At 37.1% G+C, this 18462-nt stretch overlaps 1 long non-coding RNA gene across 10 annotated transcripts in view; it reads left to right on the top strand.

Annotated features, from left to right (window-relative positions):
* Positions 1-18462, top strand: part of LOC105379109 (uncharacterized) — a 144274-nt gene that overhangs the window by 56689 nt on the left and 69123 nt on the right. For 2 of the 10 annotated variants that reach the window (NR_188312.1, NR_188313.1), the window contains one exon: positions 452-1066. The exons of the other annotated variants lie outside the window; for them this stretch is intronic. This is a non-coding gene — a long non-coding RNA (uncharacterized LOC105379109). Of the gene's footprint in view, positions 1-451; positions 1067-18462 lie in introns of those variants that run through there. 10 annotated transcript variants of the gene reach the window in all.

Here is an 18462-nt window from a genome sequence, read left to right as displayed (position 1 = left end):
GTAAGCCTTCAGTTGACACAAACACCTCAATTTACTATTATAGTACATCTATTTTGTTTTCTACTTAATAAAGATAAACTATAATTTAATTGGCAATCAGAGTGGTTCTGCTTTTTTATTAACATCTAAGCCAGTTTTGGACACCAGGAAATTATCTTTCTAAGTGGCATTATGGGAATATTAAAAGAACTCATCCCTTTTTAACCCACACTTTAAGTTAACTCCTAAAGAGGGGAATGGGAGAAATACATGCATCCACTTAATATTTACCATGGTAGATAAGAAAGGAAGAGGGGATTTAATATTATTCAATGATGACTTAAAAGAAAATGGCTCTAAACTCTGTAACTGAAAACGGAGTAGATATTTCTGTTAACTTGTTTAATTAATCAGTGAGTTGTAAAGTTAATTCATCATTCAAATAATCAGAGTTTTTTTTTTTTTTTTCAAGTTTTACGGCCCCTACATTTTGAGAACCCAACTGCATCTGAGAACCAAACTTCTTGGAAATTCTAAAGGGCATGCCATAGGCAGCCTAGCTACTTTAACAGAGCATTTCAATCAGTTTTTCTCCACGGTTTGGCCAAATAATTAGTATGTTTCCTGGCAACACATTGAGAAAGAAAGCTGGTATAGAATCTTCCTAACAATGGACCAAGATGAGAGAAGAAGCCAGTCATATCCATTTCTCAACCTTCGGTCTTCTTGCATATGGGGGAAAGGTGTGTCCTCAATTTCAAATATGTTTGAAGATTTAACTATCACTCATGCTTAGAAATTTTAATTTTTGGATTGATACTTTGTTTTACTCAGGAATGATCAGAAAAGTTTTAAACTGCACGATTACAATTCACAAAAAGAGGAAAAACCAGTTTTAATTAGTAAATTTAACCAGAAATTGAGCTTCATGATATTTAAAGGGATGGTGGGTTTTATGATTACTCCTCATAGATTCTGTCTGTTCAAGTTTTTAATTACTAGATCTGACATTTTGCATGAGTTTGTTCATTTGACAGGATCTGGACATTTAAAAATAAAACTAAAAAAAAATTGTTCGATATACAAAGATACAAAACCAACTTCTAAGTTTGCCTTTTGGGTTTTCCAGATAGTCCTTTAAAGCAATTTATTTTCAACATTTCTCTAGACATCAATCTTCAAATTATTCAAGTAATGGACAATGCTGTTTAACAATGTGTTTTGGCTCTGATACTAGCTTGATTTCTTGGGGGTAGTGTGGCAAATACTGATTTGAATGCTATAAGAGATTATTTTAAAAGTGTACTGTATATACTTTTAGCTTCCTCAGATACAAATCTTTATCAGGAAAGATATAGCAGTAACTGTAGACTTTATAGGATGCTCATAAATCGGTATACATTTTTATTCATTTCTCTGTATAAGCATACTTTGGTAATGATGAATAAAAATTTCTGTTCTCTGTTATTTTGTGGAGCTGTGGCTGACCATGTATGAGAAAGCACATCTAACCCGTCATGTATTTTGGCAAGGAAAATATTCACCATTGTAGTCAGGAGCAGGCCACTGAGAAAAAAATCAATCCCTTTATTGTTTGGATAGTATAACTCAGCTGGTATGGCCATAATGTCCAAACACTTAGATTTGAGCAGGAAACTGACAACAATGAAAATGCTATTGTTACAATGCATAGGAAAAACCTATATTGAAAATACTGTTGATGGAGATTTAGGTGAAGCTGTTTCCTGACTCATTCCATTTTTAAAAAAATCAATAGCTCTGTTGTATCCAACAGAGGAGTTAGCAGGAAGGATAGGATTATAGATGAGAGTTTTGAATATTTCAAAACAGTGAGGCAAGTGAAACTCTCATACATGTTAGCAGGAGTGTAACTAGCTCTACTTCCTTGTAAAGCACTCTCACATTCACTTATCATCATTTCGATGGACATATTCCTTGACTCAGAAAATGTACTTCTTAAAACATACACTGTAGGTGCAATCACGCATATTCATGAAGAAATGAGCTTAAAAACATTCATCGCGGCTGGGCGCAGTGGCTCACGACTGTAATCCCAGCACTTCGGGAAGCCGAGGCGGGCAGATCATGAGGTCGAGAGATCAAGACCATCCTGGCCAACATGGTGAAAACCCGTCTCAACTAAAAATACAAAAATTAGCTGGGCATGGTGGTTGCCTGTAGTCCCAGCTACTCTGGAGGCTGAGGCAGGAGAATTGCTTGAACCCGGGAGGCAGAGGTTGCAGTGAGCCAAGATCGCGCCACTGCACTCCAGCCTGGCGACAGAGGGAGACTCCATCTCAATAAAAACAAAAAACAGAACAAAACAAAACAAACAAGAAAAAAAAATTAGCTGTGTGTGGTGGCATGCGCCATAGTCCTAGCTACTCAAGAGGCTGAGGCAGGAGAATCACTTGAATCCAGGAGGTGGAGGTTGCAGTGAACGGAGATCATGCCACTGCACTCCAGCCTGGCAACACAGAGAAACTCTGTCACAGAATCAACATCACCACCACCAAAAAAAAAAAAAAAAAAAAAAAAAAAATCCATCACAGGATTTTTATTATAGCAAAATTTGAGAAAATCCCAAATGTCATTAGGAGAACATAGGTTGAATAAATTATAGTAATTCATAAAAGAGAATGCTATCTTCTGCACACTGGGGAAAAAAGGGACCACTCACTACAAACTGATATTCGACAAACTTTAAGCTATTTTGTGAAGTGAAAATAAGAGCGATAAATATGAATATATGCCTATATAGTATAATAGAATAGTACAGCCTATCTCTACAAGGAATCCCAAAAAGCTGCTAGCAGGCCTCTGATCAGAGTAATTCGGAGACTGGAAAACTGGGAAGAAACGGAGGGACTGGAAGGAAGAAACACAGCTGAAAGGGACTTCTATGCTTTAAACCCTGTTTGATTGGTGAGAACTGACATGTCAATCCTCTGAATAAACACTAAGAGAAAAGAGCCTTTAGTCAGTCACCTAATTTTTGTTGAACATCTGTCTTATATAGACATATATTTAATCTGATTCCCTTGTCTTTTCAGCAGAATTATAAAAATCTCCCTGAAGTACACATTCTTTCAGCTACCTTTTTTATTAAGAGGGACAAGAAAAAATAGTCAAAAAACCATTGTTCTCCAACAGTGTTCTTTATTTATGTTCACTGAAATCTTGCTGGACGATCACCTCAATTTGACAGAAAACACTTTGGTATCTGATGTGGTGCTTACAGGCTGACAGAACTTGAGAAGGAGAGAACTGCTTCACCGTCACCTCTGATGCTGAACACATTCTGAAGGTTCAATGTGACAATTGAGGTTGATGCTCCCTGATTATTCTTTTGTCTTCTCAAGTTGCTATGGAGCCCATAGTGATATTCAAAGACAATCAGCTTTTCAAGAGTGATGTAAACAAACACTAGAATTACTATGATAAGGCAATTATTCCAACTTTATTGAATTTACCACTAGAACCAGTATTGGATCCTTTGATATGATCTGATGTGGGAAAGCCCGTCTTTTAACAAAAGCTGTTTCTGTTATTTTTGTTTTTGCTGTTGTTTTAATCCAAGATGTCTAACTAGAGACATTGGATGCCAGTTGTCTACAGAGAGAAGAACCAAAATTGCAAGTGAATAATCATGGTCTGAGTGAAATACTGAAGGAACAGTGCCAGAACCTATCCGAGAATGCATGGGAAGAATCTGGGGTGCAGAAAAAGAAGGAAGCAAGAGTTTAGCAGTGATTGACCCCTGTGGAACTCAGAGTCCAGTAGAAAGGGCAGGTGGGGGTGTATTTTGCTCTCCTAACTCCTTCAGGAGACTGCTGACTGCCAAACTATTTGATAGCACCTCTTTCTTTGCTAGCCCAAGTATTGTTGTGGGTGGCAATTTGGGAACTTCTTGAGGGCAGAATGCTGGGTGGCCAGCTGGCATAAGTTCACTCACTTTCCCCCAACACCTGAGCTGAGGTAGAGGGCACCATACTGGTTGTGCATCAATTGTGTGCCTCTATCCTGCCCAGGAATTCTCAGCCCTTATGTCTTTGCATCACTATATCTTCCACAAATATTTCCCAGAATTATTTTAGACTGTGACAACTGCAAAGGGCTGGTGGGACCCTGGGGTGCTGCATGTTCCTAGAGTTCAACCCTCAGCATAGGCTGCCTCTAGGGGAAGCATGCAGCATACCAAAGCACCCTCTGGGAGAAAGGAAACGAAATTGTGCGCTCTCTTCTGCCAGAGATCTCTCCGCTTGTGAGAAGAAGGTAAATGCATCCCTCCCAGCAGAGACATGGGTACAGTTCTGGGCTCTACAGGAAAAGAGTACAGTTCTACACCAACAGAAAGGTGGCACCAGTGCCCAGGAGCAGACATGGATACGGGAACTTCTATCTACGCCCGACCCACTGCTGCACATATGGCCATAGCTGTTTCCACTGGGGTTTGGGATGGATGCACCTAGGAAAACATGTCCAAGGTTATGGGGGGCGGTGGCTGCACCCTACTGGCAGTGTGCCCACCAGCCAGGACTTGCATGAAGGGTGAGGCAGGAAGTGGGACAGAGTGGCAGACACCCCAAAAAGGTCCCACTAGCCCTCTAGCAATGGATTCTAAGCAAAATGAAAATTGTGAAATGACCGATAAAAAATGTAAAATATGAATTGTAAGGAAGCTCAATGAGATCCAAAGGAAAGTTGAAAACCAACACAAAGAAATTAAAAAAAAAAAGCAAATCAGGATATGAATGAAAAATTTACTAAAGAGATAGATTAAAAAAAAAACAGAACTAGACATGAAAAATTTATTGAAGGAATTACAAAATATAGTCAAAAGCTTTAACAATAGGCAGACCAGACCAAACAGAAGAGTGTCAGAGCTTAGATAGGCCTTTTGAATTAACCCAGTCAGAAATAACTAAAAAAGAATTCTAAGAAATGAACACAGCTTCGAAGAAATATGGAATTATGTAAAGTGACCAAACCTACTAGTTATAGGTATTCCTGAGGGAGAAAAAAAAAAAAAGTAACAAGCTTAGAAAACCTATTTGAGGGACTATTTCTGAAGTACTTCCCTGGTCTTGCTACAGAGTTACATATTCAGATACAAGAAGCTCAAGGAACACCTGGGAGATACTTTGCAAGATGAACCTCATCAAGGAATATAGTCATCAGACTATCTAAAGTCAATATGAAGGAAAAAGCTCTAAAAGCAGCAAAAGAGAAGCATCTAATAACTTATAAATGAAATCTTATCAGATTAACAGTGCACTTCATAGCAGAAACCTTACAAGCCAGGATCCTATTTTGTCCTCTAAAAAGAAAACAAACAGACAAACAAAAAACCTTCCAGTCAATAATTTTGTAGCTTGACAAACCAAGCTTTATATTTGTAGAAATAAAGTATTTCTCAGACAAGCAAATGCTGAGGGAATTCATCTCCCCTGGCCTGGTTCTACAAGAAATGCTCAAAGGAGTTCTAAACATGGAAATGAAAGGATGATACTTCCTGTCCTAAACGCACATTAAAAGTATAAAACTCACAGATCGTATAAAGCAATTATACCATTGAGACTAAAAAGCTGTTTATTTGCCACACACGACTACCTATATCACTGACCCAAACTTTGAAGTGCTATCTGCTTCAATTTCCAGGCAAATAGACTGTTTGTACACTCAGTACCTTACCCATTTGGCATTCCCTTCATTTTCTCCATAGATCCAAAATAAGCCTTTTCATTGACTTGCTTTCTGTTGATTTCCAACCCATTTCTTTGATCTGTATCTGTAAGCTTTTCTAAATCTAGGAATTGGCTGAATATAACGCAGGATGGACTGAGTTGTACACCAGAATTCAGGATAAGATGCTCAGATTTACTAAATAAGTTCTGGCCTACTTATGTGGGCTATGATTCCAATAACAGTTTAATTTTCAAAGACTTCATTACATTGTTTTGATTTGCCTGGTTCATGTGGTACTACTGGTGCTCCTCTGGCCCCTGCTGATGCTGTCTACAGAGGCAGAAAGGTGGCCTCTGTGTGGCCACTTACTTGGTGTATTCTGAAGGAGGAAAGGAGTCCCTGGACCGTGGTGTAAAAAAACTTCCCTGTTAGATGCTTGTTGTGACAGCTCAATCTTTGTCTGTTGGGGATGGATAGTGGCTCCCCAACTGCTTGTTGTGATGTGATCTTCTGCTGTGTTTTTTTTTTTTTCTTTTTTTGAGGCAGAATCTCACTCTGTCACTCAGGCTGGAGTGCAGTGGCGCAATCTCGGCTCCCTGCAACCTCCACTTCCCAGGTTCAAGCGATTCTCCTGCCTCAGCCTCCCGAGTAGCTGAGACTACAGGTGTGTGCCACCATGCCTGGCTAATTTTTTGTATTTTTAGTAGAGACGGTTTTTCACCATGTTAGCCAGGATGGTCTCGATCTCTTGGCCTTGAGATCCTCCCGCCTCGGCCTCCCAAAGTGCTGGGATTACAGGCGTGAGCAACTGCGACCGGCCTCTGCTCTATTTTTTATTTCTAATTTGAGTTTGAGGTTTCTCTCCTGAGAGTGGATATAAAGTATAACCTCGACAGGGCTTCAGGGAGATTGTTTTGTATGTTTAGAGTGTGCCCTTCATGGGATACCTCTATCCTGGAGAACAGTCTAATACCTAAGTGTCAACCTTTGACTAGGTGTCCCTCTCAAAGAAAACTTGTTTATTCTGGAAGACCCTTTCGTGGCTTTTGCCTGACCTGTGTCCAGTTTATTTCTACCCATATAGTCACTGTCTAACAGAGCCCTAACTTGGAAAGAAGTTAGGTTCAGGTGTGTTGGTCGGATAAAACACAGAGGAAGCAAGACAACAAAACACATAAAATAACAGAAGCAGTTTTATTACTGACAGTTCCCAGAGAGAAGTTGGGTGGCATACCTTGCAGGTCCAGCAGGAAGGGGGGCTGCTTTCTGGGACATGCACTCTCAACAGGCAGGTGGGGAGAAAGTTAAAGAGAGAGGGGTCTGTTGGATGAAGCCTTTGTTGGGGTTCCAAGCATTACCCAAGCAGGCTTTCCTCAGGGAATTTTAATTGGGTTTTGAACGAGTAGGTATGAGATCCTTGGAGACACACTGTGACTGAGAGGTGATCCCTGAGGCACATCTGCACAGTCCACACAGGATATGGAAGTGAGTGAGACAAATCAAGTAAGTTTGATCTAGCTGTCTCATAGGAAACTGATCACCAGGATGTGGTTGTATAAGGTAGATATCTGGATTGTCAATATTGAGGAACTGGGAGAAGGCAGAGACCTGGAAACTGTCAAGGGTGACTAAGTCCTGCTTTTGGCATGAGAAAATTAAACCTATATTCAAAATGGATCCTGAGGCAACATAAAACTATAATAATTCACTACATCTCCCTGGAGGTTTCTCTCTCCTCCCCGGTGATCCCATCAGCTTCTCCAGCATCTCTAGGTCCAGTAGGGAATTCACAGGACTAGTAAGGAAAGAGAGTATTCACTCTGACTACTTATTGTTAGTGGTGCTCCCAATCAATTTCCCTTGCTAAATATGCCAGGGCTAACATGGTGTTTTATGTACAGTTCCCACTTTGCCTGAGAGAGAGAAATGGGCCTGCCTGGAATGCCTTCTGTTTCTAGTTTGAGTGTTGGAAAATCTCGGACCCAGATGACCATTTTCTGCAGTGCTTGGATCCCAAATCAGTTTGCATTCTGCCTACCACCCTTTTGTTTCCTTCTCCCCTACTTCTGGGGTTTTTAGTTGTACATAGCAGTTACAATTAGGGGAAAATGTGTCTATGCCTTCTTGTTCTGTAACTGAGGTTTCAATAAATGTTAGGCCACACAGTAGCCTATATAGGCCACACAGTTAGCACCTCTATAGATGCTCCTTAGAGTCCTCTCCTGGAATATAAATGCACAGCATGCTAAAAATAAACTTCCAAAGATATTTGATACTATAATGTTATTGACATTCTTTGTTTATAGAGAACCATATTCTAGGAACTTCTAGAAAATTCAAGGGTTTAGCCTTGTAAGGTAAGTACAGGTAAATGTGGAACAGCCTTTCTGGTTACCCTCAAGAGAACAGCTACTGGGTTTCCTAATTCCCGTAAGTTAAGATATACCTATTTGCCTAAACCTGAGATCATTTCCTGATAATAGTATTTGTCTGAATACTTAAATCACTGTAGTCAAGTTGTATATAGACTATTTAGATTGTTGATCATACTTAATCTTTTATCTTTTAATCCTTCAGAATCATAAATTATTTCTTTTTATGTTTTTAGACAGTGTTGCTCTGTTGCCCAGGCTGGAGTGCAATGGCACAATCTCGGCTCACTGCAACCTGGGAGGCTCACTGCCTCCCAGGTTTAAACTATTCTCCTGCCTCAGCCTCCTGAGTAGCTGGGATTACAGGCACCCTCCACCATACCTGGCTAATTTTTGTATTTTTAGGAGAGGTTGGGTTGGCCAGTCTGGTCTTGAGCTCCTGACCTCAAGTGATCCACCCACCTCAGCCTCCAAAAGTGCTGGGATTACAGGCATAAGCCACCGTGACCAGCCAGAATCATAAATTATTTCTTAATATTTAACCCAAGTTCCTAGTCTCTTAATGAAAAGAAAGTCTTCCTGTCTAGACATTCTTTTCCTATCAAGTAGAAGTCAATGAAGTAGGTAGTGAATTAACTACCAAAAATGTCACTTTTATCATGAGTCCTGTTCAGACCTCTAAATACTAAATAAACAAAATTAGTATAAAATGGACCCAAGCTATACTTTGTTTCAAAACGTTTATCTATGAGGCAGCTGAAAGTGTTTTATTATTTTACAAATGAGCCAGGAGTTTGTCTCATAGTCAGCTTTTCATCCTGTCATTTTTATCTACATCAAACAGAAGGTGCTAGTATTGTTTTATATAACATACCGGAAAGCTCAAGATGAATGTGATAGTCAGAGAGATTCAGAGAGGCTGACATAGTTTCCAAAAGAAGAAACTATAAAGAGGCTGGCTTCTACGTGAAGTCACTGCAATAAAGAAGGATACTGGGTATGATAATAAAAGAAACATTGCAAACATGCCAAGAGAATTTTAGTATTCTATTTTGCACCTGAAACTAGAATATTATAAAATTGGATTTAGGAAAAGGCAACATTAGAATACAAAAGTAAGTATTTAAAATGGTTTAAATCTATTTTGGCATATTTTATCTTATTATCCTCATAAATAACTTAATTTCTACATGTTCTGCATTTTCCTTTTACTTCCCTATTTCTAGACAGCTTTAACCTGGTATGTTCCATCATCATGGGTCATTCTGTTTACGCATTTAGCTCAGAAGAACTCAGGAAAGGGAAAGTGAATTCATATTTAATGATCACCTACTATGTACCAGCAACTGGGTTCACCGATATTTCCCCTCCTCCTCCTCCTCCTCCTCTTCCTCCTCCTCCTCCTCATTCTCCTTCCTCCTCCTCCTTCTTCTTCTTCTTCTTCTCCTTAAGACAACAAAAATGAAACTCAGAGATGTCTAATAATTACTCATTGACTTCACAACCAAAAGTGGAGAAATTCAGATGAAAATCTAATTGTCTAGTTCAAAGACCATGCTTTTTTCTTTAAACAGTATACTGTTTCCATATTTCACCCCAGTCACATAATTAACTAATTTATTGATCCTCAAAATTATTTTTAGTCCCTATTAACTGTGAAATAAGTATTGCAGAATTTCCTTGCTTATAAGTGGTATGTATTTGGTGATAGTCTGAGATTAGTACATAATTGTTTGACATTTAGTTACTATTTTAACAAACATTCATTAAACAACTTCTAAATCACATACATCATGTTAGAGATATAATGAGAAATACATTTTAATCCCATCACAAGAGATTTCATTATGTAATATCAAAGAATTTATCAACAAAGAATGCTATTATTCAAGGAGAGCTCTAAGAAATTTTATTTGAGCACTGAGAAAAAATTATTTTGAGGCATGCAAATATCATGAAGAAAGTAACATTCGGGTTAAGTTTTGAAAGATGAGTATGCATAGAATATAGCGAAAGGGTGATTCAAGCAGATAGGAAAATACAAGCAAAGGCCCTAAAAATTAAATTACATGATGTAATTCAGACGTAGCCGGTTTTTTTGTTTGTTTGTTTTTTTTTCTTCTTCTTCTCCTGGGGCCAGGGAATCATAGGAGAAAGTGAAAGAAGAAAGACTGGAGAGATAAGTTGTGGCCACATTATAAAGGGCATTGCGTGTCTAATGAACTGTGATGACTTTAGAGGGAGTCTTTGAAGGATTTTAAGCAGATAACTATCATAATTTTATGGGTAGCTTCCTACTTTTATACATAGTGGCTCTTATTCAAGGTACTATGATGTTTGTGTCATCACATTGCAATGCTTTTATGCTAACAATGAGTTAGCAAATATTTTCCTTTAAAAAATAAATTAGTAATTCTATAAGACTATCACTTTAAGTGTTTCTCACTCAGACACTCAGACATGCTTTCTAATGTAGGAGAAAAAGAGATTATAGTTATCTAGGTGTTGTGCATGACCAGCAGTGTATTTTATCAAAACAACATTTATTATTTGGGATCCTAGACAATGTGTCTCATATGTACATGATTGAAATATTACTGTAGGAAAGAGAAAAATATAAAAACCACTCCAGTAGAATAGTGAAGGTATAAAATAGCAAATCAGATGAGAACAATGATTTTCATTACTAAACATGATTTCTTGTCCTCTAAGCTTAGTTGTACCCTATTGTGAGGTCTTCTTTTTCATCCAAGGCAGCAAGAGTAGCCAGTTTTCCAGGGCAGGGAAGAGAGTTGTCAAGTCCTTGGCTCTTGCCACTGCCCTAGAAAGTATCATCTAACACTAGTATCTCTGAGATGACTGGCAGTCACTCAGACCCACAGACTGTCCAGTCTGCATCTGCTGATTTCTCTTGAACACCTTATATAGCCTGTAACCAGAATATTTATAAATTTTTCTTGTTTTGTCTTTAGCATGGGGACAATTGTCTCTACTATCAGTACGTAATGTTTCTGGACCTCAGACATTGGTCAGTTCCCCAATTGACCGCTCTAGGTGAAGAGTCTGTATCACCCTCTATGCTGCCTCCATTACAGATAAAAAGGGGATCTTGGACCCATAGCAATGAATTAGTGGTGTGAAAGATGTCACTTGGAGCTGCCTAAAGTGATCGTAGACAAGATAAATGAAAATCCTTTACTGCACCCAGATAATGTGGAAAACATTTTGCCACACTTACCCAGCACTCTACTGAATAAAACTACTTTTTACATAACAAGGAGGTCCTTTTTCCTTTTAATTTTCAGTTCCACAGGCTACTCTGTCTGTCATGGACTGCATCCTTTCCACAGTGAAGAGAATGAACCATTGTGGTAATTGAAGAGGAATTTCCCCGTGTTTTTAAATCCACGTATATTCGATTAGCATTTTTACAAGTAAATAGATAGTAATTAGCAGGTAAACTTTGGAGAGAAGCTACAAGGTTCACTGAATACCTTACAAAAATCAGTTCTTCCGATACGGTGATTGGCTAGTTATGCCACATTGATCTCTGGAAAGTTTTTCAAGAGAAATGTAGATCTTATTTATATTAGTGATATTTTACTGATGCTGCCAAAATAATGGCATTCATTTTGGAGCGATGAAGTAGAATAAGCTTTTAAAGGATAAGCCCCTTTTTACCTTGATAAATAGAATTAGGTCATGGAGGGTTGGATTTGAGAGGAACCACAGTGATAATATCAGGCAGTCTTAAAACTCATAGGAGTAGATATTGAGAGAGAAAGTGGTGAAATGGTTGGGAATATGAACCAGGAAACCAGACTATAAAACGAGTTGGATTTTAATCCATACTAAAATCCATGTAACACTGAGCACATGACAATCACTGTGTACCTCAATTTCTTTTATTTAAAATGGGGATGATCAGTAACAGTGGCTGGCCAATGAAGTAGTTTTAGGGTTGCAAAATAAAATATAGGATACCAAGTTACATTTGAATTTCAGAAAAACAAGTAGTATTTATTAGTGTATACACGCCCAAAATAGCATGGGACATACCTGTAATTAAAAAAAAAAGAAAAAGTTGCTGAGCATGGTGGCTCACTCCAGTAATCCCAGAACTTTGGGAGGCGAAGGCAGGTGGATCGCTTGAACCCAGAAGTCCGAGACCAACCTGGGACAACATGGTGAAACCCTGTCTCTATGAAAAATACAAAATTAGCCACCCCTGTAATCCCAGCTACTCATGAGGCTGAGGCTGAGGAATCACTTGAACTTGGGAGGTCGAGGCTGCAGTGAGCCATGATTGTGCCACTGTACTCCAGCCTAGATGAGAGAGTGAGACCCTGTGTCAAAAATTAATTAATTAATAAGCTGTTTATCTGAAAATCAAATGTTACTAGGCATCCACTACTTTTATTTGCTAAATCTGGCAATTTATAAGGATTAAGTGACACAAGGCATAGAAAGTCCTTAAGGAAAATTCCTAGAGATGCAGCAATGGTGAGTTCAGGAAAAGCTATTTATATATCTTTTGAATAATACAAAAAAAATTTATCTACTAAGATCAAAAAATGGTAATAATCTGAATTCATGACTTTCATAAGGCCACATTACTATTTTATTACTTCTCTGATAAATTATATTCAACATTGATTAAAATAGAGAAGAAATATCTATATATCCAGTCAGTACCTTTTCTTAATTAGTAATCTGTATGAACCCAGAAAAGAACAGGTTTTAATGTCAGATAGATTTGTACAGAATATTAGATGAAAGCGAGGTACATTAACATACCAACAAAAATCGAGTGTTTTAAATCCAAAGAATGACTCTTAGTTATTCGCTTTTTGTGGGTTATAGCCTAAGATTATTCATTCTATACTTATTACTTCCTATTTGTTAGCATTGATAAACAAAACTCGATCTCAATTACATGTAATAGCCCCCAGAAACAGTTGCATCCTATTTTCTCATTTTAGAAGATGATACTCAATTCATATGCTTCAGTTCTTCCAGCCTTGTGAAATCTAGTAGATTAATTGTACAGAACTGGCATTGTGGTTAATAATAATATTTTCTTTTCATTCCTAAAAGGGCAATTTAGGAGGCAGTCTGAGGTATCAAAAGTTATTAAAGGTGATAACACACATAAAAATACCTAAGGTTGGGGAGATATATATATATACACATATATGATATATATACACATATATGTAATTATTATATATAGTACATATTATATAATATAAATTATAATATGTAATTTATAATTATAATTATGTAATTATATAAAATATATGTATTAATTTATAATTATAATATACTATATAATATATAATATATAACATGTAATATAATATATACTTTATATACAATAATATATATGTTATACGATAATATGTAATACATATTATACAATATATAATATGTATTATACAATTATATATTATGTATTATACAATAATATATAATATAAAATTGATATGTGTTCTATATAAAATATATAATATATAATTTATATATAATTATATAACATAATCATATAGTAATATCTATAATATATAATTTATAATTCTATGTATTGGGGATACACATATACATATCTAATTATTATATATAGATTATTAAATAATCTGTATTATAGTATATATAGAGAGATTATTATTAAAACGAGAAATATTTGAACACAGAGAATCTTAGAGAAGAAATTTTGTGGGGGCTGGAGAGATAAAGAGAGGTGTGTCTTACCCTCCACTCTCCCCAATCCCCGAACGGCCATGAAATGATAGCCTTGGTCCAGTTAACAGGAAGGGGACTGACACATCCAGAAAAACAGTTTTGTTCATTTTTGTTGTGGTAGCAACTGAAGTTCTGGAAATTTTATGTCTAGAGAAAGACATGGCATATATGGCCTATTTGTTAACACCATGAACTTAGTTATGCTCAGGAGTAGGTTCAGCAGAAACACTGTAGTGTTTTATTTAACCTGAGTGTCCAAATTATCCCAAGTGCCCTGAATTAGAAATCAAAGTTCTAACTTTAGCGCGGTGGCTGGAGTACAGTAAATGGTCAATATATATTAGGTTTCTTTCCTTTCCTCTCCTTTACAACATGGAGAGGAAATTCATGGAAAACTTTATCTAATTAAATTAAAAGTATATGATATTTGGTCTAACAGTTATTGAACATGTAACATACTCTGGATTATTGGTTATATTTTTATAGACGTTGTTTCTCATTACTACAAAATCTTCCTAAATATATGTTGTTTCTTCTAGTTTGATGAGCAAATCAAAAATTGGCAACATAACTAATGAGACCAAAATCTCTCAGTAAGGAATTGGAAAAGCCAGATTCAAACAGCAGGACTACCCCACTCAAGTCCACTTTTTTCCATTTCATCACCCCATGCTATCCTTAGTTTGGCAACGTGTTTTACAATTTTGAAAATTAACAAATGGAAAAGTCGTTTAGAGGAAAGAAAGATTTTTGTAATCTGATGAAGGCTAAAGCCTTTACTTGAACACTGAATTTTTTATTTCATAACACATGAAATTTTTATTGCCTTATAGAAAGCCAACCATAAAGACAAATAATGGGCTAAATTGCCATAGTGATAAGTTATTTGTTGAATAAGCAATGACATGCACACCACAAATGTCATACCCACAGTCATAGTGACTCATGATGAATTTCTAAATAAGATCTAGATAAAAATATTAGAATAGGAAGGCAAAACCAAATGTTTTTATTGGAATACCTATTTGAAGAAGTCCTGGAATTCACCTGTAAAAATTCAGATATCATTCTTCTTGCCCATTTTTCAGATTTTAAGATTATAAATAAATTTGTAATTTTGGTATAATACAAAGCATGTAGATGATTATTTTAGCAAGATTGATCATATGAATTAACCAATTTAAAATTTCTTCATTAATGATATACATACAATGGATGCACAATTTTAATTAAAATTGAAGGGGAACATCACACATCAGGGCCTGTTGTGGAGTAGGGGGAGGGGGGAGGGATAGAATTTGGGGATATACCTAATGTTAAATGACGATACTGGGTGCAGCACACCAACATGACACATGTATACATATGTAAATAACCTGCACATTGTACACATGTACCCTAAAACTTAAAGTATAATAAAAAATAAAATAAAATATCTGAAGGGTTTTAAAGCTATCACAAACATTTAAATGCAGGCATAGACATATATGGAACTATTTCTGGAGAAACTACTAACATAACTTTTTGTCTGAATTGAAGACTTATATCAAATGGCTAGTTTTACTGATTTTTTTTCTGTAAAAATTGACTAGTTTTGTCCTCAAATAATGAAGTAAATATTATGGCATAGGTACAATCTTATCTCACTCAACTCTGAAACTGCACAAAATAAGAATAAAGAATTTGCATTGAGCATGGAGACATTAATGTGATTTGATTAATTTTCTCATGTTAGTGTCTCATATGAGGAAGAAAAAGGCTGGCATATTTTTTCTTGCTTTCTTAACTGTACTTATTTTCAAAATTACGTTTTTCATCAATGACTGATAAAAATGATCACATCCTGACTTAAAATGTTTTATTGAGTGAAACTTTCTGCGGGCACCAATTAGACATTTTCGCATTTCAAGAAGGCTTTGCCATTCCCATCACACCAATTTTAAAAGGCACATTATTTACCTTCTATACCTGGTCCTATTATCATTGCCACAGCTACCTCATTTCCTCAGATCTAAGAGTGTGAAATCTCACTGTCTCCTCCCAGGAAAACTGTTCCACTGAAGTATGCATAAGTGGAAAAGAAAGCAAGATGGCAAATCTTCCACAAGAGTTGTTTTTATTCCTTCAAAACAAGAAGGAGTTAATTCATGGAGAAAATGTTAAGACAAAGGTGTTATAAATATGGTCATAAATCAATAATCCTTCACAAAGAAGGTTCACATGAAAAAATCACACACACACACACACAAACATACACACATACAGAATAAAGCACTTCTGTTTAAAGAAGAATAAACCAATCTTATTATTTTCATGAGATTTCTATTGACTACACAGAATAGAGCACGTAGACCTTAGATGACTGCTCACTTCCAACTGAGCTGGTACTTTCAGTAGCAGAGTACGTCAGTAAGTGTACTCTATACTATTTAATTCGCCATGTGACTTCCTGATTCATTTTCCCCTGCAATGTTAAGTAATTTTAACTTTAAAGGAATTGTAGGAAATAATTCAGGAGATGGCACAAAATGTCTTTGTCCTTCATTTCTTTGTCAGTATTATGTTTGGCATATATCAATGGGGAAGAAAAGCTAAGAACCTATCTGGCTGTGAGTAATTTCATTCTCTCACTACTAAAGTATTGAAATTGTCTGACTCCTTTTCTTCTCTTCTCTTTTTACCATCTAAACTTTTCGTGTTTTGGAGAAAAAAAAATTCAAGAATAAATTTACATGGAGAAGCTAGAAACAAAGAACAACTAAACGTCTAAAGTAGTCTCTATGTATGTATTTCATTCCATCTTATTTCCTCCAAGTACCAAACATTATGTTATTTTCTTCTATGTAGCAATTCAATGAAAAAAATGAGACACCAGTGTATAAATATAAAAAAGAACACATTATTTTTTTTTATTAAACTTTTAAAACTTTTATTCTGCTTCAATTGTGAAAACCTACTAAGGTATGCATGTAAAATAACTCATGTGGGGTCACACTAAATTCATCTTATGAATTCAGTTTAGCTTAATGGTGTTCTCACCTGTGAACAAGACATCTTTGTATTCTGATCTCAAGCCCTGACTTAAACATTTTTCCATAACTCTAAGAAATTGTCAAGAATTTGTGAGCATCCATTCTTATTATCATCAGTCTCCACTCACCACCATGGACACTTAAGAGATGTATCTCTTTATCCTTTTGCTTTTTAAGGGTCTTCTGTGTTCTGTAACCATAGAAATAGAAAAGGGGTGGGTATCAATAATACAGTTTCTATAGAGATAGGAAGCATCAAATAGACTCCCTGGCTTTGTCCTTTGTCTCATGTTTTGAATTTTTAGAGAGCCAAATGCATGTGTCTTCTAGTGAATGTCCTTTTCCACAAAATTTTATAAAATACTTTTGCATTTTATCCTTTATATATTCTAAAAGTGTTTTTTGTTTGTTTGTTTGTTTTTGCTTTTTTTGTTGTTTTTATTAGAGGTTACCTGTCAAACTCAGTGTTCTTCCATGTGTTTTACAGTAACTTCAAAAAGAGATTTTTTTATCTGAAAGTATAAGGAAACTATAAAACATGCTGAACTTATAATAAAATGTGAGTGAATTATAGTAGTTTCCATGTCAATAAATCCTTTTACTCAGGTGGCACTTAGCAACGTACTGCCCTATAACTTGCCCAGATAAGATAATACCTGAGTTTTTATTTATCCTAGCAGTTGTATTTCAACTCAAGCAGCACATTGAAGACCCTGGATGGTGTAATTAGTTTCAGAAACCTCAGGTTTAAAGCACGCATTGGTCTACACTCACAAGTTAAGGCTAAAGACACATTCCTCAACAAGTGGGAAGGAAAGAGAAAGTAACCACATTCATATAAATGCTGTTTATGCTCAAGGTTCTGTAGTATAGTCTCTCTCTCTCTCTCTCTCCCCCCTCTCCATCCTCTCTCTCTCTCTCTCCCCCAACCCTACCTCAAGTTCTCTGCACGGGGGTGGTGAGGGGGAGTGGGTGCAGCCTAAACTCCAAATGTCTGGAGGTCTGCTTGGGCGTGGAGTAGAAAGGGCCCCACTTCACCATGGTCTCTGTAGAGGAAAATCTGGGTTGTTCAGGCTGCTGATCTGAGTGAGTGGGTGCTCTGACTGGCTGGAGATCTGCCTAAGTGTGGAGTGGATAAAGATTCAGTGCACCACAGTGTCCGCATGGCGAGGGTGAGGTGGCTCAGGCTGCAGAGCCAGTTGAGCAGGTGCTCCAAGTGCCTGGAGATTTGTCTGGGCTTGAAGTTGAGAGGGACCCTCTGTAACAGGATCTCTGCACAGGAAGGGTAGGGTGACTCAGACTGCTAGTTCATGTGAGTGAATACTCCAAATGCCTGGAGATGTGCCTGGATGTGGAACAGAGAGGGTCCCTCTGCACCATGATCCATGCACAGAAACGGTGGGTGTCTCAGGCTGCTGATCCAGGCAAGGGAGCACTCCGAATGTCTGGAGTTCTGTGTGGATGTGGAACAGGGAGGGTCCTGCTTCAGCGGGATCTATGCCCAGGAAGGATAGGAGCTCATGCTGCAGGCCCAGGCAGGCAGGTGCTCTGAATGCCTAGAAATCTGCCTGGGTGTGGAGCAGAGAGGGTTGCAATGCACCATAATCTATGCACAGAAAGAGTGGGTA

This window comes from Homo sapiens, chromosome 5 (assembly GCF_000001405.40).
Source record: "Homo sapiens chromosome 5, GRCh38.p14 Primary Assembly".
NCBI classification, from domain to species: Eukaryota; Metazoa; Chordata; class Mammalia; order Primates; family Hominidae; genus Homo; species Homo sapiens.
The sequence above is the reverse complement of the archived record's forward strand: the minus strand, read 5'-3'. Positions and strand labels throughout refer to the sequence as shown.